Source organism: Homo sapiens, chromosome 9, assembly GCF_000001405.40.
Source record: "Homo sapiens chromosome 9, GRCh38.p14 Primary Assembly".
In the NCBI taxonomy this organism is placed as follows: domain Eukaryota; kingdom Metazoa; phylum Chordata; class Mammalia; order Primates; family Hominidae; genus Homo; species Homo sapiens.
The window spans coordinates 68,626,025-68,649,233 of NC_000009.12; the positions used below are offsets into that span (position 1 = coordinate 68,626,025).

Sequence of the window (23,209 nt, forward strand, 5' to 3'; positions counted from 1 at the left end):
TCCATTTTTGAATAGCTTAAATTGTTTGAATATCCTTTCTCTTAAGAATAAGTATCAGTACAAAATGCCTACTTCCGTTTTGTAGGTATCTGGTAAATTTTTTTCAATAAAAAAAGTCAAGTCAGATTAACTAAAATTGTGGAACAACTTGAATATTTGCAGTCAATAACTAAAGTCATATATTTCAGATCCTTCAGCAGGGCATCTCTGTAAAATAACATTTGGAAATCACAGAAATTTACTCTTAAAGGGCCTTTCTTGTTCATTACATTCTGAGATATACCCATTTTATGGCCATATATTTGAAAACAGACAAAAATACAGGAAATTTATAGGGACACGTAGTAGGCATATGTATATGTATGGATAGCACGTTTACATGTGCATAGATAGGGGACATGGGAGGATAGATATCAAGGGTATTCCTAGGGAGTGGGAGTGGGTAAAGGAAAAGAGGCTTTTACTCTCCACCTTAGACATTTTGTTATTGTTTGATTTTATTTTTTATAAAGAGTATGTTGCTATTTCTATCACTTAAAACCATTTTCTCAAAAATTTACAAAACAACAATAGAGAGAAATCACTTACATTGAGCTGAAATCTGATTGCCCAGAGTTTCCATTTTCTACTGCACTCTGGACAACTTAAGATAAGCCCACTCCTTCTTGCACATAGCAGCGAGTCAGCTGTCTGATGCCAGTCCTTGAGGCCTCCATATTTCTCTTCTCCAAGATAAATGTTCCCATTTCCTTCAGCTGTCTCTCAGTTGGCAGGAATTCAAGTCTTCTTGACTTCTTATCACTGCCCACCTCCCACTGAAGTAGAGCATATCAGGTGGGCTCAGAGAAAAACCCATTCAGAAGTTCAGGTGGCAGTTGGTCATCTATTGAAAATTAGCGAGTCCATGGTTCTTTGTGTTCTTGCACCAACTTGGCCTAACTTTTTGGGGTCTCAGGTGCTGTATTAAAGGTGCTCTATTTCATGCATCAGTGATGGATGAAAGCAGGTCTGCAGGACACACATGCAGTTATAATCAGAACACCATGGCGAGCTTTCCCAACACTTATAAAACCTGGCTGATATATCAATGCCAACTCAGCACAAGAACAGCAAGGAAAATGTATAAAGGGAATAGTAGGAAAATATGTTCCCCTGGCAATCAGAAGAATTAACAATGGTATAGCGAAGATATGCATGTTATGGCAGCACATGACCAAGATAAGAGCACATAGCAAAGCGGTCAAGAGGATCAGCTCTTCCACATATTTGCTGTGTGACTTGGGAAGGTTTCTTAACCACTCTGTGCCACAGTTTCATTATCTGTAAAATGGGGATAATAGTGGTCCCTACTTGATACAGCTAACACAAGGTTTAAATGAGCTGTTCCTTTAAAAGTGTCTCTGGCACATAAGATACGCTACATAAGTGTCTAACAAACAAAAAACAAATGAGGTGACTTTGATTTCATGGTTTCTGACTGGAATGGTCAGAGGAAATAATGTGAACAAGAGGTGTGCAAATGGACCTGCTTGGCAAATTTGAGGACTAAACTGTGCTCTGTTTAGGAAACATAACAAAGAATACAGTTCTATCGGCTGAAGCATTCCACCTGTTGCAAACACAGAGGAAACTGTCCTTTCATAGATTAGTGCTTTGGACACCTGCCTGCCTGCCATTTCTTCCTTGTCAAAAAAGGTTAAAATAGACCAACCTCATTAGTACCAGGAACATATGAATATGTTAAACGGTTGGTACAATGACTCCTATTCAAAAGTACAATGACTGAGAGGGAAACAACTACCACTCCTAGTTATTGCCATTCCTTCATTTACATGGGGCCCCATGGAGTTTATTTAGGGCATACAATTGAAGTACATTTCTCTATAACTTTCTCCTGCAATGGATCAGCAAATTTTATTTTTTTTTCTTTTTGAGACAGAGTCTTGCTCTGTCACCCAGGCTGGAGTGCAGTGGCGTGATCTCGGCTCACTGCAAGCTCCACCTCCTGGGTTCATGTCATTCTCCTGCCTCAGCCTCCTGAGTAGCTGGGACTATAGGCACCCGCCACCATGCCCGGCTAATTTTTTTGTATTTTTAGTAGAGACGGGGTTTCACCGTGTTAGCCAGGATGGTCTCGAACTCCTGACCTCATAATCCGCCTGTCTTGGCCTCCCAAATTGCTGGGATTACAGGCATGAGCCACCACACCCGGCCCCTGGATCAGCAACTTTTGTACATGAGGCAGACTGGATGTTCGGCAGAGCCAGAGTTCATACTATGCTGAACATGTCAGTAAAATACAAATTATCTTTGAACTGGGCTTTTTCTAATTCCAAGTTCTTCTCCCACTTTCTTTAGCTTTACCTGTGTTCTAATTCAAATCCCTGAGAGTGTAATGACCTTCACCCAGACTATGGGTCACTAAGAATGTTCAGTGTAGGATGTTGATCTTGATGTATTGAAAATGGCACTGGTTCTGCTAATTGTTGGTGGGGGACTCCTCTGGAAAAACATCTTGCATTACTGAGCACATTTCTTCATCAATCTTTATGAAATCTACCATTTCTCCTATACAGTCATTCTGAGTATCAAATGGTATTGGTAAAAACACTTTTTGGACACCAAACCTGGAATTGCAAACTCGAATGTCTGTGGTGGCCAGAGAGGTAACATAAACATGTGATTAGCGGCAAGTGTAACATGATAGAGAGTGGTGGTGACTGTTGACAAAGTGGGAAGTGTATGTCCAGCCTAAAGACATTCAAATTCAAGGGTTGAAAAAAGTGATACTGGTGAAACAATATTGCCTAATGTCAGATTAGTTCATGGACGAGATTTGACCTACAAAACACCTGCTTGCAACTCTCGGAAATAAAGAGCAATATGGTATGGTAGTGGGGAAGAAAATAGATTTTGGAGTTAAACTGGCCTATGTTGAAACTGGTGGTATGACCTCAAGTAAGTTAATGAAGGTCTTTAAGACTCAATTTTATGTATCTATGTCTCCAGGATTGTTATGAATATTTTAGAACAATGTAAACTTATTACCAATAATTATTAATTGAAGAAGTTCAAGTCTTTCTATGTAAATATCCTGCTCACTTTATCTAGAGTGCTCACAGCAACAGTTTTCCCCCAGTTTATTCTTGTTCAAAGTGTTGAGGTTTCCAAGTGCATGCTGAAGTTAGAAAGATAAAAGCATGAAGATACAGTGGGTGAACCTAGAGGAAGGCTGCCAAGACTGCGCTGGCTTTGTCTGCATGTTATCCCATGCTCTGAGATCTGACCCTTGGCCTCCCAGTCCAGCAGTAACTTCATTATAACACTCAGAAATGAGGAGACACACAGTAATGAACTCCTGTGAAGTTCACATGCAAATGGGACATGAAGCCGAATGTCTATGTGTTTTTTTCTTTAGGGTGGGTATTGATCTCCAGGTGGAACTATTTATATCCTTAAACCAAGGCAACTCACTCTCAATATTGGAGTGTCCAAGAAACTGCAGACATCTCACTTGGCCTCCCTTGTGCTACATCTGGTTGATTATAGTTTTTACTTGTTTTAAATTTTTTAAAAATATATGTGATACTTTTGTGAAGGAAAAAAATAAAAACAAGAAAAAAAAGAACTGCTTTATTTCTGAATTTAGAACCAGACATTAATTCCTGGTTCAGACTGTCATGACCACAAGGAAATGAGAAATATTTGCTCATGATTTCTTTCAGATGCTTCAAAATATTTAGAAGTTTTAGGACTTTCTTTGGCCAAAGTCTGGCAGAGGTCATATATTTTCTCTGTTCCTGAGTCTGGGGTGGTAAAGGGAGGATAAAGAACAGCAGGAATCTATTCCAACTAGGGTTGGCAGATTTAGCAAATGAAATTTGAATTTCAGATAAAAACGAATACGTTTTTAGGATAGGTATGCCCCCATTCGAATTGGCAATATCTGCAATTTATGGGATATAAGTTACACTAACAAGCTACTGTTGGTTATCTGAAATTCAAATTTCACTTAACATCCTGTATTTTTATTTGGTAACCCTAATTACAACCCACAAGGCAAAAGCCCTCATCAATGGCTTCCAAAAGTGTATATGGAGAGAGCGCTCTCTCTTTCATTAGTGTTGGGGGTGTTGTGGAGGTTGAGGAGGTATATTTTCTTTGGAGACTGATTTCTGGTAGGTAAGGCCTGAGCCTTGAGCACTAATAGCTGTTAGATCTCTATGGTCTTCCAGCCAACTATCATAGCATCTGGTGATGGGGACCAAAGAGGAGGGAGCTGAAGAAACCCTTCCCTCTATGTGCTTTTAGAACAGAGATGAGTTGCTTTTAGAGATAAAATATAGCATATTAGGACAATCAAAGAGAAAGTGTCAGGATATAGAATAAATTATCTGGAAAATCAGAATTATGTGTGTAACCATTACTTATAAATGGAAATGATTTTGGAGACAATCTCCTCTCTTCCTATCATTTTACAAATGAGAAGACAGAGACTCAAAGCAGTTTCCTTTCTGGAATGTGATGGAAGGGATGTGTCTGTGTGTGTGCATGTGTGTGCGTAAGCCTAGCAGTAGTAGTAGCAGTAGTAGCAGAAGGAGATGGTGAAGGAGAAAAAGGAGGAGGGAGAAGAGACAGAGGAGGAGGAAAAAAGGGGGGAGGAGGAAAGAAACTGAGGCAAAAAGACTTGAAGTACAAATACCTCTCCACTACACCTGTCCTGCTACATGATTGTGGGTTTCTACAACTGTTTTTCCTGTAACTTTTTAAAAACTTACATAAATAATACACATTCCTTAGAAAAATTCAGGATTACATACAAACAAACAAACAAACAGAAACCTCTTCCATGAATCCAACATACAGATATTACTATTGTTAACATTTTAGTGTATAAAGAAAGTACTTTGGTATGAAAGACCCAGCATTCATTCTGCCTTCTTCAGGGAGCCACACCCACATTTTGCTCTGGGGATAGCCACTCAATCAATGGAATATCATTTCTAGTGGGGCTACCAACCCAGGTGTCAGGTCCTTTGCTGGCAAAGCAGTAGGCAGGTGACCAAGCTGTGATTTCAGTCTCTAGCTAAGTGACCCTCGAAGACTGACAATGCTGGAGTTTCTTCCTCCTGAGAGGGGAACACTAATGAGATCACTCATTGGCACATATCATTCAGACACCTGGAGCAGCTCTGGGTCCTGGGCCTCCTGAGAACTAATTCTTCACCTTTTCCTTCAATTCTAATACGGGAAATTGATTGTATTCTTGGCCTCAACTAGTGGCCTCCATACCATGCCCTGTGCAAGAGACAGAGGCCCATCAAGAACTGAAATCTAGTTCTCCACCCCTTGAATCTGGGATGCATTGCAATTTGCTTTAGCCAGTAGAATGCAGGAACAGTGAAGTGTGTCAGCTCAGAGCCTCAACTTCTAGAGGGCTTGTGTGCTTCCAGTCTCTCTTGGAGCCACAAGAACAAAACTGGTGTCAGCTGCTGGAGGATAACAAACCACTTGGAGGAGAGCACAGGAGTCTCAGCCAACTCTCAGAAGTAGAACCACCTCATGCACACACAGCTGACCTCAGATACATGAAGAAGACGACCTTATATCACGAGCTAAATACATGTTCTAAGCCTCGAAGTTTGAAGTGGTTTGTTATGCAGCAATACCTAACTCATACTTGTATCAACTTCCACATCTTTCCAATAAATTCCTTTTTTGTGAATTTCTACAGCTACAAAGAACTCTATTAGACACTTTCCAACTAGTCTCTCATTCTTGTAACAGAATGTGATCATATCACACATGCTCTTTTGTAATCTACTTTATTTCACTTTGCAACTGATTTTGAGCATCTTTCCCAAACGATCAAATGTACACAGTTGAAGAAGGAAAATCTCCCAAATGCCACTTCTGAGCCTCTGCCCAAACCAAGTTTCATCATGACATTATGGCCACCAGCCAAAATGCCATTTGTAGGCAGGCCTAGCATGATCTGTTCTGTCCAGAAGGAAGTGCCTTTAGCTTGTTTCTCCATGAGATTATTGGACAGCACTGTGACTTTTCACAGCTTGATGACCAAGAAAAGGACACAGTCATGCCTGAGAGGTGCTTGAGAACATTAACCTTCCCAGGCACTGTTTACCTCTTTGGAGAAAGAAAGCAATAATTGCATTCAGAATGTTCTATTATTTTCAAACATATAAAACATATGGACAGCGAAGACAGAAAAAGAGATAGACATTCCCCATAATGATTTTATCTTCTGACCCAAAACTGAGTGATTGGAGCTCTCCAGTCCTTTTATTCCTGGTCATCCTATTTCCATTATCCTTTTTTTTTTTCCACCAAAAGGCAGCTTTAATTTGAGATATTATTTGTTTGGCAGAGTAGGGCAAGGGGAGGGTGCAATGCCAGCCCCATAACTCTAGTCTCTAGTCTCCACGCTAATGAAAATACATTAATATTTTCCAAGGAAATTAGTGTTTGTAAAATGGATCCCCTGCAACTGTGCACACATTTCTATTGGAAGGAATTTTCTGAATGCATGATCTGCTTTGATCCCTTCCAATAGGCACACAACTGTAGGTCTATTCTCACCTTGCTTGCTTTTCCTTTGGATTTGATTTTTTTGTTGATAACAATAATTCCTATGGCATTTATCTCATTTAATCCTCATCAAAACTGCATGAGGTAGATATTGTTATTATTCTCCTTGGAATAAATTGAGGCTTAGAGAAGGCAAGTAAATGGTGTGAAGTCTTGTAGCTAATAAATGACAGAGCTGCGATCCCACCCTTGTTTGTCAAACTCCCAAATCAGGATGTTTTACCGTGATGTTTTCATGTCCCAATTCTTACTGAATTTTAAATACAATAAAGACATAAAAAATAAATCACCAAAGTACAGGTTACTTTTTTTTAAAGTAGGAAACAATAAGTGGCCTTAATGAGTTTCCTTCCAATCCTAAAAGAGTATGATGTTGAAATCCCTGTCTCTTTTCTCCCTAGGCAGCGTCTTCAGACTTCCAAATAAGCCTGAAGAGGACAGGAGAGCGAGCAATGTCTCCCTGAATGGGACTACAGGGGACGCTGGTAACCGCACCTCATTCAGCAACTTGAGAAACATCAGCAATAATACTACAAGCAATCGCTTAGGTACTTGACTGTGAGCAGGAATATGAGACAAGTGGAACACACTGGCTCTCATTTTTTAAAGATGATTTCACCTTAAGAGGTAAATACTTACGGAAAACAATAAAGCACCTACAAGAAGAATTATGATACAGGTCAGCACTGTCCAACAGAACTTTCTGTCATCATGCAAATGTATTGTATCTGTGCTGTCCAAGATGTGACATATCCAATATATTACCCACCTATGGCTATGGAGCACATGAAATGTAGCTAGTATGATGGAGGAACTCATTTTTAAATTTTAATTATCTTTATTAGCTTAGTTAACTTTAATTAACTGAAATTAAAATTAAAATAGCCAAATGTGGCCAGTGGCTACCATATGGGATGGCACAGCTATAGATGGCCATAGAAGTATGGTGAAGTGGTCAGGGAAGTCCTCATCAAGAAAGTACATTTTGAGAAGCTTTTGAAGTGGGGTACAGAGGGAAGAAAATGCAACTGGATTGAGAAAGATGGGAGGAAATGAACAAAACACAAGGTTTGTTCTAGTAGAAGGCCTGGGGTTACAGATTCAAATGCCTACAGAAAGAATCATAAGGTGGGCCAGTAGGCCGGGCACGGTGGCTCATGCCTGTAATCCCAGCACTTTGGGAGGCCAAGGCGGCCGGATCACTTGAGATCAGGAGTTCAAGACCAGCCTGGCCAAAAGGATGAAGCTCCATCTCTACTAAAAATACAAATACTAGCCAGGTGTGGTGGCGCCTATAATCCCAGTACTCAGGAGGCTGAGGTGGGAGGATCACTTGAACCTAGGAGCCAGAAGTTGCAGTGAGCCAAGATCATGGCTTTGCACTCCAGCCTGGGTGACAGAGAGGATTGGTGGGGGTTATGGGGACCATGGAGATTAGAGACCCTACCCCCATGTAAAGTGTCAATCACTAGTCAGCTCCAGCCAGTTATTGCCATACAGAAATGTAGGCTCAATGTTGACTATCTTCTTATTTTTTGGAGGAAGTCAGAAACTCCAATTTTATGTTAAGTCACCTAATTTTAAGTCTTGGCCACAGTGTGTGCTAAACATTCTTAGCAGATGCTGTTGGTGCTCCACTCATATCCACTCAGCACTCCCCTCTGCAGGTGAGGCTGCCTAGTGTGACTGCCTTCAACTCTGCCTGAAGACACTGTGCACACACTTGACCTGCATTCAGCACATGTAGGAATGCTAAAACATTAATGCCCTTGGAAGCAGCTCTCAAACAATGAGAGGAAAGTATATAAATATGATAGATAGTCTTACCTTTCAGTTAGGATAGCTCTGAGATATGTCCTGTATTGCCTCCCAGAGTTTCCTTGTGTGACTGAGCTCCAGCTGCCACAGTACAAACTGGTAGATAATGTGCCATTCATTGGAATCCATCCCTTTTCCTTCTCACTCTCCCACTTGCCTGTATACTGATGTTTCCTGGGATCACCTCCCAATAAACTACTTGGACACCAATCCATATCTCAGAACCTGATCCTGGGAGGAACCCAAACAAAGACACTGTTGCAGCATACAAACTCAAATTCCAGTGGCGAACACAATGATGTTTCAATCTCACTCACATCACAGTCCAATGAGGGTCATTGTGGAGACTGTTCCACCATCCAGGGAGCCAGGCTCCTTTCATCATGTGGCTCTGCATCTTCTATGACACCTTCCTTCTCTGCATTCAGTTGCAGATGGGGACAGATAGAGAACGTGGAGGGCTGGGAGGAGGATTTTTACCATCAAGGCCTGGAAACAGTGACCAGCACTTCTGTTCATATCCATTGGCAGAACTCGTCATATGGTTCCTCCTACTTGCTGGGGACGCAGGGAAACGTAGTGCAGCTGTGCACCAACTGTAGAAGGAAATAGGTTTGCTGAACACATAGCAGTTTCAGCTGCTGCAACTTATTTATTTATTGAGACAGAGTCTCACTGTGTCACCCAGGCTGGAGTGCAGTGGCGTGATCTCAGTTCACTGCAACCTCTGCCTCCGGGGTTCAAATGATTCTCCTGTCTCAGCCTCCTGAGTAGCTGGGATTACAGGCATGTGCCACCACACCCGGCTAATTTTTGTATTTTTTTTAGTAGAGATGGGGTTTTCACCATGTTGGCCAGGCTGGTCTTGAACTCCTGGCCTCAAGTGATCTGCCTGCCTTGGCCTACCAAAGTGCTGGGATTACAGGCACGAGCCACTGCGCCTGGCCTGCAACTTATTTAGATTTTGTAAAAATACTGTCCGGGCCAAAGAAGCTATGCCTGTGGACCAAAGTCAGCTTGTGGAACACCAGTTTGGAAACTGTGGCCCAGATATTATTCCCTAGAGTTAAGGGAGAAAAATTTTGCTAGCAAGCCACCCAACAAGTTCTTAACTTGCACAGAAATAAGTGTGCCACATTTTATTCAATGTCCAAACACTGTACTGAGTGCTCCACGCACAGTGCTGCAGTGAGCAGCCTCTGGAGATGTGTGTGAAACATGCAGATATTGCATGACTATATGAAATTAATCTATATGAAATTTGAAATGACTTTATGAAAATTGAATCAATTCTCCACTGACTGAGTTTATAATTTCACAGGGAAAATGATCATTTCATTTCTGATAGTTCTTACATGAACAGTGGGTCCCTAATCAGATAGCTGTGACTTCCTTCATCCTCTGTCAAGTGATTGTCTCTCAGTAGGTCATGTCAATGTAGCCCCACTTCCACCTCATCTTCAGCTCTTCAGCCTCTCCCCCGATTCCCTACGCTCCAGCCCCACTGCTTGTTTCTCAAACTTGCCAAACTTTTTACACCTCCAGAATTTTGCAAATGCTGTTCCTTATTCCAGAAATGCATTCCTGCTCTCCTCTCTTCTCTTTGCTTCATTCTTTACCCAACTGGGTCCCTGGTATCTGCCAAGTCTTGGCATAAATATTCTTCCCTCATAGAAGCTTTGACTGACCACCCAAAACAAAGGGGCTTTTCTCCACCTACCATTATTCCCGCTCCTTCTATCTATCATGATTCAGAACCATATCTGCATGTTTCACACACATCTCCAGAGGCTGCTCACTGCAGCACTGTGCGTGGAGCACTCAGTACAGTGTTTGGACATTGTCAGAGCTCAAAGATATCTGTTGAATACATAAATGAATACCAAAAAAACTCCACTGCTTTAAAGAAGTTTGTGTGGATACCTTTTATAATTAAAATAACATCTCCCCATCTGTCTTGAAAGTTTAGTTAAACTTGATTAGGATTTAATGAAGAGAAATATTTATATATTGAATGCTACCTGAGGCAAAGAAATAAAATAAAATTCCTCTCTTTATCTCAGAAATCCCTGAACTTAGTCTCTTCTAAAACTAACCTAGATAAAACTCAGTGTGATCATTTATGTCAACAGGGGTGGAGAGACGAAAGCTCTTTGAAAAAGTGAAACTGATATTAAAATGCAAAATTTTAATTCCTAAAAGCATCATTGACCTAAATAATCTAACAAGTTGCTCAGGGAGAAAAAAATAGGAATCAGCTTTGATTTTTCCCCACCCCTTCCAATCTCTCTGCCATCCTTATGAGCTGTACTTCCAAACACAGCTCAGCTTCACCTCTTGCCTCTTCCCCTTTTGCCCAAGATTGTGTCAATCCAAGCTGCTGAATGCGTAATGAAGCTGTCTGTCTAAGAAGCACAGTTACTTGTTTAGTTAGAAATGTAATTTTTGTTTTGGGGTTTTATTTGGGAGGGATTTTTTGCCAAGTGGTAGAATTTGAAAGTGTTTTCCCTATAGGAGGCAGATTCGGAAGTCTGGCCTACGACTCTTTTGGAAGCTGAAACTAATTAAAATATTCATTTTTCGCCTCTGTAGCTAAGACCCGGCAGGGGAGATAGCATTTGTTTTATGAAGGTGTAACTATATCCACTAACCTCTTGTGTGCCACATTCGGCATCTGCCCCAAGGCTGCCACACCTGCTCAAACACCTGCCCAGTATGTGAGTATTTGGTAGAACAGTTTTTAATGGCTTACCTAAGGGCACCTAGGGTCACCCACCTTTACCTGAGGACAATAGAGTCTTGTTCCACATATTTATTACCTATACACTCACCTCTGAGTGAAGTACTTTCCTGGTTTCACCTTCAGTGAGATCTGAAAAGCTATGCAAAAGACAAATAGAAAAAGAGAAAGAGAAAGAGAAGTTAAAAAATAGTTGTGTGTCATTAAAAAAAAAAAAAAAAATCACTGACCGGGCATGGTAGCTCACACCTGCAATGCCAGCACTTTGAGAGGCTGAGGCAGGCAGATCACAAGGTCAAGAGATTGAGACCAGCTTGGCAAACATGGTGAAACTCCATCTCTACTAAAAATACAAAAATTGGCTGGGCGCGGTGGCGCATGCCTGTAATCCCAGCTACTCAGGAGGCTGAGGTAGGAGAGTCGCTTGAACCCAGGAGGCAAAGGTTGTAGTGGACTGAGATCACGCTACTGCACTCCAGCCTGGTGACAGAGTGAGACTCTGTCTCAAAAAAAAAATCACAGAGGTTGAGAAAGATACGAGAATATGTTAAGTGTCCTCCGTGCTTCCAGAGTGTCTACAGAATCCTCAAAGAAGTGTAAAGCCATAAACCAAGACAGAGCCAATTTCAGCATTCACTGTTTTTGAATGGCAAAAACTAATAATGATGCTTCTTCTGAATACTCAGTATGTCCAAGGACAGGCTAGATGTTTTACTTACATTATCACATTACTTCTCCCTACTCTCTACCATAGGAGACAGTATGAATATTTATGAATATTTTGTTATATTTATTTAATATTCATTAAATATTTATGAATGCTTTGCAAATGAGGAAACTGGAGCTCCAAGAAGTCCAGTGACTTGGGAAGTAGTAATGCATGGGCTAAGAGCAGACTTGGAGGTCACATCATCTGTGCTGGGGTCCCAGCTCTGCTATTGACCAGCAGTGTGACTTTAGACAAATTACTTAATCTCACTAAGCCTCTGTTTTGTCACAAAAGGGCAGTGGTAATAGGTAATGACCCACCTTACTTGTGAAGATGCAATGACTTAACACACACCCAATGCCTGGCACATCATCTAACACATCACCTAGCACACAAGACATGCTGAACCAAGGTTTGCTATCATCCTCCTCAAAGATCACACACAGCTAGAGGGTTGAGAGCAAGGCTGCCAACCCTGGTTGTTTTATTCTGCTCATAAAGCTTCTGTATCTTCCACTTGCAAAAACTAAATTCAGAGAAAAATAATTGGAAATAGAAAAGGGTGGTCAAAGAGAACACCAGAACCAGAAGGAGGCGAAGACCAGTTCCTTCTGTATCTGGAACTTGCCCTATATGGGTCCTTTGCCTCCTATACCAGGCTCTGGAGGAAAATCTGTTTGGTGAGCTAAGAAGTATTTTTTTTTCTAATCAAGAGAAGTCTCTATAAGCCTTCTAGAATTCTCATCCTTGATGGTGAAAGAAATTACAATGTGCATATTCTATTGTTACAGGCCAACTCCCCATTTTCTTTCCCCCAAGACTGCCTTTTCCCACACCTTATTCCTCATTCTCCCACCTCTCCACTTCTTGACATTGGCCTGGTTCTTCAAGGGCCACCTGAAATCCCACCACCTCCCCAGTGAAGGTTTCCCCTTTCTCTGGAGGCTGAAACATTTATTTTTAGTTTAAACATTTAATTGGTTTTCCTGTTTCATAGGGACTAATACCCCCCAAATAGATGATGTACTTCCTTTGTGTACTCCACAGGGATTGATACTAAGTTTCAAACCCAGAAAGTTCTAAATAGATATGCACTTTGTATAAATTATTGTTGAGAACTGGACTGATTGTAGCATTTGTGAAACTCCCACCTGGTAATAGGGATGCAACTGAAAACTCGGCAGAGTTTTAAGCCTTGGTCCCCACCCTCAAGGTGCTTTCATCCGTAAAGAGAACAAAGCCCGACCAGGTGTGGTGGCTCACGCCTGTAATCCCAGCACTTTGGGAGGCTGAGGTGGGTGGATTATCTGAGGTCAGGAGTTTGAGACTAGCCTGACCAACATGGTGAAACCCCGTCTCTACTAAAAATACAAAATTAGCTGGGCGTGGTGGCGCATGACTGTAATCCCAGCTACTCGGGGGGCTGAGGCAGGAGAATTGCTTGAACCTGGGAGGCGGAGGTTGCAGTGAGCCAAGATCGCTCTATTGCACTCCAGCCTGGGCGACAGAGTGAAACACCGTCTCAACCAAAAAAAGAGAGAGAGAGAGAGAGAGGAAGAAAAAAAAAAAAAAGCCCACAGCCTGTTATAACAGGGAGGCACTGAGGCAGAAAAGTTAGCATTATGGGTTACTTAATTTCCCTTTTTTTTTCTTAACAGTAAAATGGGTATAACAGTCATACCTACTTCATGGAGACTTTGTCAGGTTTAAATCAGATAGTGCAGAGCCTAGCATATCCTAAGAGTTCAAAAAATATAGCTACAGGTAGGTTCAGAAATTAGAAAAGCAATTGTTCAAATACCGGGGGAACAACAAACATCTTATAATTAAAAGGCTCAACTGGGTATATTTCCAGAGACAGCTGAGCTGCTATCAAGTTATTTTAAAGGTATTTTATGCTAAGTACATAGTTCACAGTAGAGATAGACACGTCTACTCATGCTAATTTCTATGCAGTGGGGCAGGGGAGAGGAATTAAGAGTTAAAGCAATGGAAAGGAGTGTGCTTCTGGGCCTGAGAAATCCCAGGTGGGAGGTGACTCTGGAAGTCAAGGCCATCATTGCTCTCTCCTACCTGAATCAAAGGAATGAGTAAATTGGAGACAAATTGATAGAGTTCCAAGTAATGAACCCGAAAGAGTTTCATTGCTTTATATTCCATTACGAGGAGAGTGTAGGGTTGAGTATGCTGACCTGCAGTGAAACTGTGTTTTATTTTTTCCAACAGAGGCCCCATTTCAACACAGGCAACATTTCCTTTTTTCTGAGGCTGCTTTGGGGAAAGCAGAAGGGAAAACAAGCAGGCAGATTGGACGTTACTGAGCTGAAATCATCTGGGCTCAGAAGCATCTTGTGAGATAGCAGACGGACTCTATGAGCCCTTGTGTCCAACTTTGGCACAGGGGGCTTAGGGGGTCCCACTCTTTGGGAAATGACTTTGGTCCACACTAATGTGCTCTATTAAAGGAGCTCCAGGAATCCTTTGAATAGGATTCTAGCAGTTTCTAGCAGTTGCTGGTCCTATCGGAAGTATCGTAACACTAAAATGCAGCTCCCCTAGCCACTGCATTTAGGGTAAGAGTACCACATGTAGCAACCAGGGGCATCTTGTTCAAAGCCTCCTGTTCCAAATTTAACTTGTGTTTTTGGTGAACTTGGTTGTGGGTGGAGTTGACACCTGCCAAGAAGGTCCCAGGTTGATCCTATTAATAGGCATGACTGTAGCTAAGGAAGTTACAGTGCTAAGTTGCACTTGGTTGAACTATAGCTTTGAATGTGATGATCCTCCTCGCCTGAATGAAAAGAAAAGAGAACCACCTGCAATTAGATTCTACAGAAGCATGTGCTGAAATACATACAGGAAACTTTGCAGGCTCAACAATGACAAGCTGAAAGTATTAGGAAGATGATAAGGTACACATCCTAATAATAGTATAGTGAACATTTCCTGCCTCCTTACTCTGTGCCAGGTAGTATACTCAAGACCATAGCTGTATTATGTCACAGTCCTTGCATCACTCTGTGTGGTATTTACTAAGGTCTTCCTTTCATAGTTGAGGTACCTGAAGCACTGAGGGGTCAGATGCCTGCCTAGGTCACACAACCAGAAAGTGCAGAGGCAGGACGTGAACACAGACCAGGTTCCAATGTCTCCACTCTTTCTATCAAACTGCCACTCTTAGTCTCTAATGTAAGCTTCATTGAACCAACACACAAAGCACCTGCTGGGTGTGGGGCAATGTATAAAATCCCTGGGGGCACAGAAAAGAAGTATAAACTTGATTGTGCTTGCAATATATTTCCAAAAAACCAATGAACTATTTGTGTGGTAAGTAATTGGATTAGAATAAGGGTCATCTCCCAAAGAAAATAGAAATCCTTCCCAGGGTGGAGACCACATCTGTTTTCCTATCCAGAGAGCTTTGCTCAAAGGCCTATACCTCCCAGGCTCTGGACAAACATCTCTTGATGCTGACGGGAGGGACATGGTGTCATAGAACAAATCAGGTCTTACGGCTGAAGGTCCTGAGTACTGGTCCCAGCACTACCCCAAATTTGTCCAGTGCCTTTGGCAAGTTAACTTACCTCTCTAGGGGTCAATTTCCATGTCTACAGAAAAGAAATAATAAAAATAAAAGTTAATGTATGCCCTAGCCTACCTCACAAAGTTTAGTGGCGATGAAATGCAGTAACTATACAAACATGCTATGGCTGGGTGTGGTGGCTCATGTCTGTAATCCCAGCATTTTGGGAGACCACGGCGGGTGGATCACTTGAGATCAGGAGTTCAAGACCAGCCTGGTCAACAGGGTGAAACCCCATCTCTAGTAAAAATACAAAAAAAAAAAAAATAGTCAGGTGTGGGGTGCACGCCTATAATTCCACCTACTCAGGAGGCTGAGGCAGGAGAATTGCTTGAACGCGGGAGGCGGAGGTTGCAGTGAGCCAAGATTGCATCACTGCACTGCAGCCTGGGTGACAGGGTGAGACTCCATCTTAAAACAAAACAAAACAAAAACCCAAAATGTGCTATGCAACACTATAAGGAATTTCTTTATGAGCTTTATTCCTTGAGAGTGCTGCAGAAAATCACCGGAGTGGATATCCCTGAGAGCTAAGCGCTTGGGTATGACTTCATGAATGAGGGGGACAACTGAAGCTATAGAGTCTTGTGGATTCTAGAATCCTTAAACTGGCCAATTCTCATTTTATGTTTGAAAGCCTGGAGTGGGATGTGAAGGATGTGATACAGAGTTGTCTCCAGCTTTGGGTTCCAGGATCTCCTTGTTTGGTGAAAGGAGCCTTGACATTTTTCCTTCCTGTAAACTTTGCCATCTTCCTTCTCTGCTTGGCAATTCATGCCTAACAAGTGACATTTCCTAGGGGCAAGATAGCATAACTGTCAAGAATAGGGAATTCCTATTATTAATTTTTTTGGTTTACTTGTAACCACCCAGTGGGTTCACCTTGCCTGCTGCCTAGACAAAGCCAATTTATCAAGGCAGGGGAATTGCAATACAGAAAGAGTAATTCACGCACAGATGGCTGTGCGGTAGATGGGAGTTTTATTATTACTCAAATCGGTCTCCCTGAGCATTCTGGGATCAGAGTTTTTAAGGACAACTTGGTGGGTAGGGGGAGGCCTGTGAGCCAGGAGTGCTGATTGGTCAGAGATGAAAGCAAGGGAGTCAAAGCTGTCTTCTTGTACTGAGTCAGTTCCTGGGTGGGGGCCACAAGATCAGATGAGCCAGTTTATCGATCTGGGTGGTGCCAGATGATCCATTAAGTGCAGGGGCTGCAAAATATCTCAAGCACTAATCTTAGGAGAAGTTTAGGGAGGGTCAGAATTTTATAGCCTCCAGCTGCATGACTTCTAAATCATAATTTTTAACCTTGTGGCTAATTTCTCAGTCCTACAAAGGCAGTCTAGTCCCCAGGCAAAAAGGAGGTTTGTTTTGGGAAAGGGCTGTCATCATCTTTGTTTTAAACTATAAACTGTTTCTCCCAAAGTTAGTTCGGCCTATGCCCAGGAATGAACAAGGACAGCTTGGAGGTTAGAAGCGAGATGGAGTTGGTTAGGTCAGATCTCTTTCACCGTCTCAGTTACAATTTTGCAATGGCTGTTCAATCATTCTAAATCTCAGTTTCCTCAGCAGAAAATAAAGAGATGATAATAGTACCAACCTTATAGGATTACTGTAAATTCTATAAGGTAATTATAGAATTCTATAAGGTAATTATAGAGAGGTAATTCCTATAAGGAGCTTAGCCCAATGGCTGGAAAATATATGTAGGCCATTGTTAATATGCATATATAGTTATAATTACGGTGTAGTTCTGTTTTTCTTCTACCAACCCTATCTTCAAATATACTTGCTGTCAGTTAAAGTTCAATATCTTATAAAGAGATTTTAAGGCTTGGGAAAGATTAGTGAAATCAAGAAACTGGGAGTTGCTAAAAAGTTAGTTATAAGGCAAGAAGCCAGAAACATCACCCTCCCTGGATTCAGGCTGTTCCCCAATAATCTAAAGTGAGAAACATAAATAGGGCAAAGATAATCTACTTCATAAGATTATGAATAAATGACATGCAAGGATTTTTTTTATTCTATAGCTCCTGTCACAGCATTGAGAAAGCAAACTTTTCATGAGGCAGTCACTGTCATTTGCTCTTTATTGCCTTAAATTTCCAGGCCGTGGAACCCCAAAGTCAACCCCCAAGCATCCCCAGAAGAAAAGTACACTTTGAATAATTACAGTCCTTTAACTTTCCTGATTCAACCTTCAAAGGCCACGAATTGCTTCTAACGAAGAAGCTGAAGTGAAAGAAGAAGGAACGTCAACAAAAATGTCTGTTTGTGTTATCTCTTTACTTTCACGGTTTATAGGTTTGGGGGAAAGTTTTTATTTTCGGTGGAATAGAAGAAGGGAAGAAGAGAGACTAAAAAGCATTTCTTAGATTTCCAGAAGCAGTAATGGAAAATCCCGACCCTAGAGTCTTGCTTTCTTCCTAGAAATAGAATGCTCCTGAAGTTCCCAGGAGAGCCCTTGGCAGACAGATGTCAATCATTCCATCCCTTGTTTTGCTGGGTGGAGTCACTGGAGCTTAAAGAAGGGGAAGTAAACTCAAGCACACATCCTGGTGACCTCTAGCCACGGGTCAAATTTCACTGATGTCAATTAAAAATGACCAAAGACCCGCCCCTGTGAAAACCCTGTGGGCAGCCATTTTGTCTCAGGGAAACTGCCCAGATCTGATGTAAAGTATTTCCGGACGTCTCTTCGTTGTATATGGCATTTCCCTGAAATAAGCAACTCTCTGAAAAATATCATAGCGCAGATCAAAATGAAGTACTCTGTGGTGAAGTAGAAGTACACAGTCAACAAAGAAACTTGCCCTCAGGCTGCACAGTAAAACGTTGGAAATCCCAGAGCAGCAACTTGGAAATCCCACCTGCTACATATTTGCCTGAGTACTTTAAGGTTCTATGGACAATTGTCTCTCTGCGTAGATTAACCTTAAATAAACTTGTTGCGTTTTGAGGTGGTATTTCTTGTTTCATTTCTCTTGCTTTTCTCCCCTATTTTATAATAAGTTTCATTCACACTGTGATACTTTAAGAAGAGATAACCTTCTACTAAGGGATGTTGCTGTGATAACCTCCAAGCCACAAACACAGGTTTTAATCTTACCTCAGGGAAGTCCTGCCTCCCTTGCAGACTAGTTTATGTCTGAGTGGATTTGCCTATCAGCGTCTTTTCTGATGAGGCATGTAGCCCAGCACGGCAGCAAAGAATCCTGCAGTAGGCAGATAAAGCTTTCTAAAAATGTTTTAATTTTACTTTAAATTGACAAATAATAATTGTATATACTTATGTGGTACAATGTGATGTTTCAATACATGCATACATTGTGGAATGATCAAATCAGGCTAATTAACCATACACATTACCTTACATACTCATTTTTTTGTGATGAGAACATTTAAAATCTAGTCTTTCAGCAATTTTGAAATATACAATCCATTATTGTTCTAGTCACTACACTGTGCAATAGATCACCAGAACTTATGCCTCAGATAAAGCTTTGAATCCTGTGAATCCTGTTACCACAGAATAGCAAGTGACCTCAGACCAGTTACTTAACCCCTCTAAAGCTCAATTTCCTCATCTCTACTATTGAGACTATAATAGCATCTACTTCACAGGGATGTTGGAAGGATTACGTGCTCTCAAGAAGGCTTAGTAAATCCTAACTCCTACTACATTATTTTATTGAGGTCTCATCGAATTAGATACCCGAGAGAGAGAAAATGAAAGGGAAGTGCTTAACATTTGTGACAACCTTAACGTGATCTGCACATTTCCTAAAAATTATACACTTGTATGACTTCATTTCCCCCAAGATAGTATATTAGTACTTTGGAAAGTGTGAGATGAAAAATTGTTATCCTGAACTGCAATATCCTACTTTCTGACTTCAAATCCTTATCTCTCCTGCACTTCTCACTATACCATCGCTTAGACCTCATTAGGGTCACCTCACGGCCTGTGCTTATCCTCCCACCTTTCCCATATCCTCCCACCTTTCCAGAAACTTTCCATGTATCAGTTACCCCTTCTCTCCTCTCAGCTGGGTCCTTCCCACAAGTAATGAAGCCCTAGGTCACTCTAGGCCTTTCCATATTACAAAATAATATGGAAAGGGCCATGTTTTCCCTCTTGCCACTTCTGTATCTCTCTCTTTTCCTTCAGAGCCAGTCTTTTAACAAATTATGTACTCACTGCTGCCATTTTTTCAAATCTGCCTCACTCTTTAGCACATTACAATCTGGTTTCTAGCCCAAATATTCCACCAAGTCGCCCTCACAAAGATCTCTAGTGGTCTCCATGTTGCTAAATCCAAAAAACTTTTTCAGTCTTTATCTCATTGACCCTCTTGCTGACAATGGGCACAATCCCTCTTGCTTGGACTTTGTTGCCTCTGATACTACATCTTGGTTTTCCTTCCAAGTCTCTGACTGCTCCTGTTTTGTCTCCATTTCTGCCTCTTTCTCCTCTACCTTCCATTAAATATTGAAGTTCCCCAAGTCTCAGTCCTAGACCCTCTTCTCACTTTGTATACTCCACTCTATCCTGACAATCATTATCAATCATGATTTCAGTTATGTGATACCAGCTTACATCTCCAGCCCAGACCACACCTCCATGTTCCAGACCCAGAAGCCCGATTATTTGTTTACCACATCTCCATTTGGAAGGCATTCCTCTTCAATTTGCTTAAGACCAAGTTCATGATCTTCCTCAGCAAAACTGCTCCTTTTCCTTTGTTCTCTGTCTCAATGATTGATACCATTATCCATCCAGCATATATCATTCTTGATGCCCTCTTCTCCCTCACTCACCATACTTAATTCATCACTAGGACCTATCTCTTTCATTTCTTAAATGTCTCTCAAAACAATCTTGATTCCAATATTTCCATAGTCATCACCATAGGATAGTCACTGTAGCATCAATCTAAGCTGCCATCATCTCTTTATTCTCCTGAGTTTTCTCTCCATTCACTCTGCTTTCCCAGCCCCAATTCCTTTCTCCACATTGCAGCCAGTCCCACCATGTCCTTCCTTAAAACTTGCCAATAACTTCCTATGGATCACAGGAAAATGATCAAAATTTTTAACACTGTGTTGCAAAGACAGCCTTTCCACAATATCTGTTTTCTCCTTCTACCTCCCAAAAATCTTCTGTTATTGGGACAGCAATATATCTCAGACACAAATAAACAAAAAGATAATTCCTAACTTCCTTTACAGAGAGGAATAAATAACCTGTGCGGTATAAGCAGAAGTTGTTAAACAGAGTACCCAGGAAAGTCCTTTTATCCTTGCCCTTTGGGTTCTTCATGTTTGAAATATGGTTGTGATGACTGGCACTCCAGCCTCCATCTTGAGACCTTGAAGGAGGCTAGAACCAGAAATGGTAAGGCAGAAAGATAAAAGAGGCATGGGTCCCGATGACTTGGGAAACCATGCTACAAGACTTGATTTTCTACTTCTGGGCTGCTTCTACGCCAGAGAACAAAATCTTTACATATTATATTCACCAGTTGGATTTCTGGCACTGGGAGTTGCAGTCAGTTTCTAATTGATACACACAAGATTTGCAAGGCCCTACATAGTCTTGTCTCTGCTGTACCTCCCGAGCTGCTTCTTGCCCCATTGTCACCTGTATGCTCTTCAATACAGCCACATTGGCCTGATTTTAATTCGAATGCACCTTGCTGCATTTCTTTTTATGTTATTTATTTATTTATTTGAGATGGAATCTTGTTCTGTGGCCCAGGTGGGAGTGCAGTGGTGCGATCTCGGCCCACAGCAACCTCCACCTCCCGGGTTCAAGCAATTCTCCTGCCTCAGCCTCCCAAGTAGCTGGGATTACAGGCACCCATCACTACACCCAGCTAATTTTTGTATGTTTAGTCCAGACAGGGTTTCACCATGTTGATCAGACTGGTCTCAAACTCCTGAACTCAAGTGATCCACCCGCCTCACCATCCCACAGTGCTGGGATTACAGGCTTGAGCCAGCACACCTGGCCCCATGCTGCATTTCTGCACAGGGCCTTTATACACTCTTTTCTCAGTCTATAAATTTTCCTCTCCAACCCCTCATCCTCCAGCCTGACCTAACTTACCTCTACTCATCTTTCAGATTTCAGTTAGAGCAGGACTTTCTTAGGGAAGTCCTCCTGAGCCTCCCTCTTTTCCTCTTCACTCCCGTTTCCACCAATCTAGAATAGGTTCCTTTGTTCTGTGCTGTCATGGAACTATATTCTTTTGCTTCAGAATATTTTCCTTAGGTTTAGAAATTAGATATTTATTGATGTCATTATTTGATAAATATCTGCCTCCTTTATTAGATTTAAGCTTTATGAAAGCAAGGGCCATGTCTGTTTTTGTTCAACATTCTATTCCCAGCACTTCGCACAGTCCTTGGTATATATCCTATGCCCACTAAATAATAGTCAAATGGGCTGGGCACAGTGGCTCACACCTGTAATCCCAGCACTTTGGGAGGCCAAGGTGGGCAGATCACCTGAGGTCAGGAGTTCGAGACCAGCCTGGCCAACATGGTGAAACCCCCGTCTCTACTGAAAAAACAAAAATTAGCCGAGCATGGTGGTGCACGTCTGTAGTCCCAGCTACTCAGGAGGCTGAGGTGGGAGAATCACTTGAACCCAGGAGGTGCAGGTTGCAGTGAGCTGAGATCACGCCATTGCACTCCAGCCTGAGCGACAAAGCAAGACTATCTCAAAAAAAAAAAAAAGAAAAGCAAAAAAGAAAAAATAGTCAAATGAGTGAATAGGGACCTCAAGTCCCTTTTTTCATAACCTATATCAGGCCCTTTCATTCTCTCTTGCCTCACCCACTCTCCTACCAAAACTCCATAACTTTACACTAATGTTTGCATAACGTTTTATGGCTTAAAAACAACTTTATATAAATTATCCCATTTTCATATCTACAACAACTATATAAGGTATGTAAATAGTGACAAATCTTTTTCAAACAAGGATTTCAACATAAAATCAGTCCCTTGTAATCTGTTTAAGTAGTCACCAGAGTTTTTGACCTCATTCTCTCTCATTTAAATCTTGAGCCTCACTAGCAAATTACAGTTTTGAGAATTATCCAACTGATCCATAGCCATCCAAAATACATATTCCAACAAGCAATAAGGAAAGACCAGCTAGGAAAGAAATTCAACATCACCATTGCTTTGCCCCTCAGATATTGTATTCTGTATTCAATTTGATTCTCCTGACCTTAATCCCTTAGCAAAGTGGTTCTGAAATTTAAGCATGCATCAGAATCACCTGGAAGTCTTGTTAAAGCACAGATTGCTGGTCTCTGATTCAGGAGGCCTAGAGTTTCTGATTCAGAAGGTCTGGGATAGGGTCAAAGGATTTGCATTTCTAACAAGATCCCAGGTGATGTCAATGCTGTTGGTTCAGGCACACTTTGAGAACCTCTGTTTTATTGGCTCCTCAAGAAAAGAGAATCTGTTTCTTTAAGAACCTAGCAGTGGATAAATTTGCTGTTTGGCATTTTTAACAGCAGCCTGCAGAGCATGTCAACAAGGGTATAATTTCCAGCTTACCAAGGGCAACACAGTAGAGTTGTGACTATCCTGAGAGCCACTGAGCCACTGCATATTACCCTATGGGTAATGAGGAAGAGAAGTCATCTAACCTTAGTGGGTAAGCCCTGGTTGTTGTGTGGCCTGCCCAGACCTCTGAACCTGCCCATCTCTCAAGACTATGGATGATAGC

The 23,209-nt window shown here is 41.6% G+C and overlaps 2 long non-coding RNA genes across 2 annotated transcripts in view, besides 2 other annotated features; one reads left to right on the plus strand and one right to left on the minus strand.

Annotated features, from left to right (window-relative positions):
- TMEM252-DT (TMEM252 divergent transcript) overlaps positions 1 to 18,426 on the plus strand; it is a 103,426-nt gene extending 85,000 nt beyond the window's left edge. Inside the window, exons 4-5 of the long non-coding RNA NR_187592.1 lie at positions 7,015 to 7,236; positions 17,569 to 18,426. This is a non-coding gene — a long non-coding RNA (TMEM252 divergent transcript). The remainder of the gene's footprint in view (positions 1 to 7,014; positions 7,237 to 17,568) is intronic.
- On the minus strand, positions 473 to 8,979 carry LOC105376071 (uncharacterized). Its single transcript, XR_929902.3, has 3 exons — positions 8,745 to 8,979; positions 8,437 to 8,658; positions 473 to 1,008 (listed from the first exon to the last, which is right to left on the minus strand). It is a non-coding gene; the product is annotated as an uncharacterized LOC105376071 (long non-coding RNA).
- Positions 13,162 to 13,251: a silencer, noted in NCBI's record as "silent region_19927". NCBI's record gives its function as "represses an Ori minimal core promoter by ATAC-STARR-seq in GM12878 lymphoblastoid cells {active_cell/tissue: GM12878}" and the evidence as "EXISTENCE:reporter gene assay evidence [ECO:0000049][PMID:35858748]".
- Positions 17,886 to 17,965: an enhancer, noted in NCBI's record as "active region_28438". NCBI's record gives its function as "activates an Ori minimal core promoter by ATAC-STARR-seq in GM12878 lymphoblastoid cells {active_cell/tissue: GM12878}" and the evidence as "EXISTENCE:reporter gene assay evidence [ECO:0000049][PMID:35858748]".
- Positions 18,427 to 23,209: the final 4,783 nt, after the last annotated feature.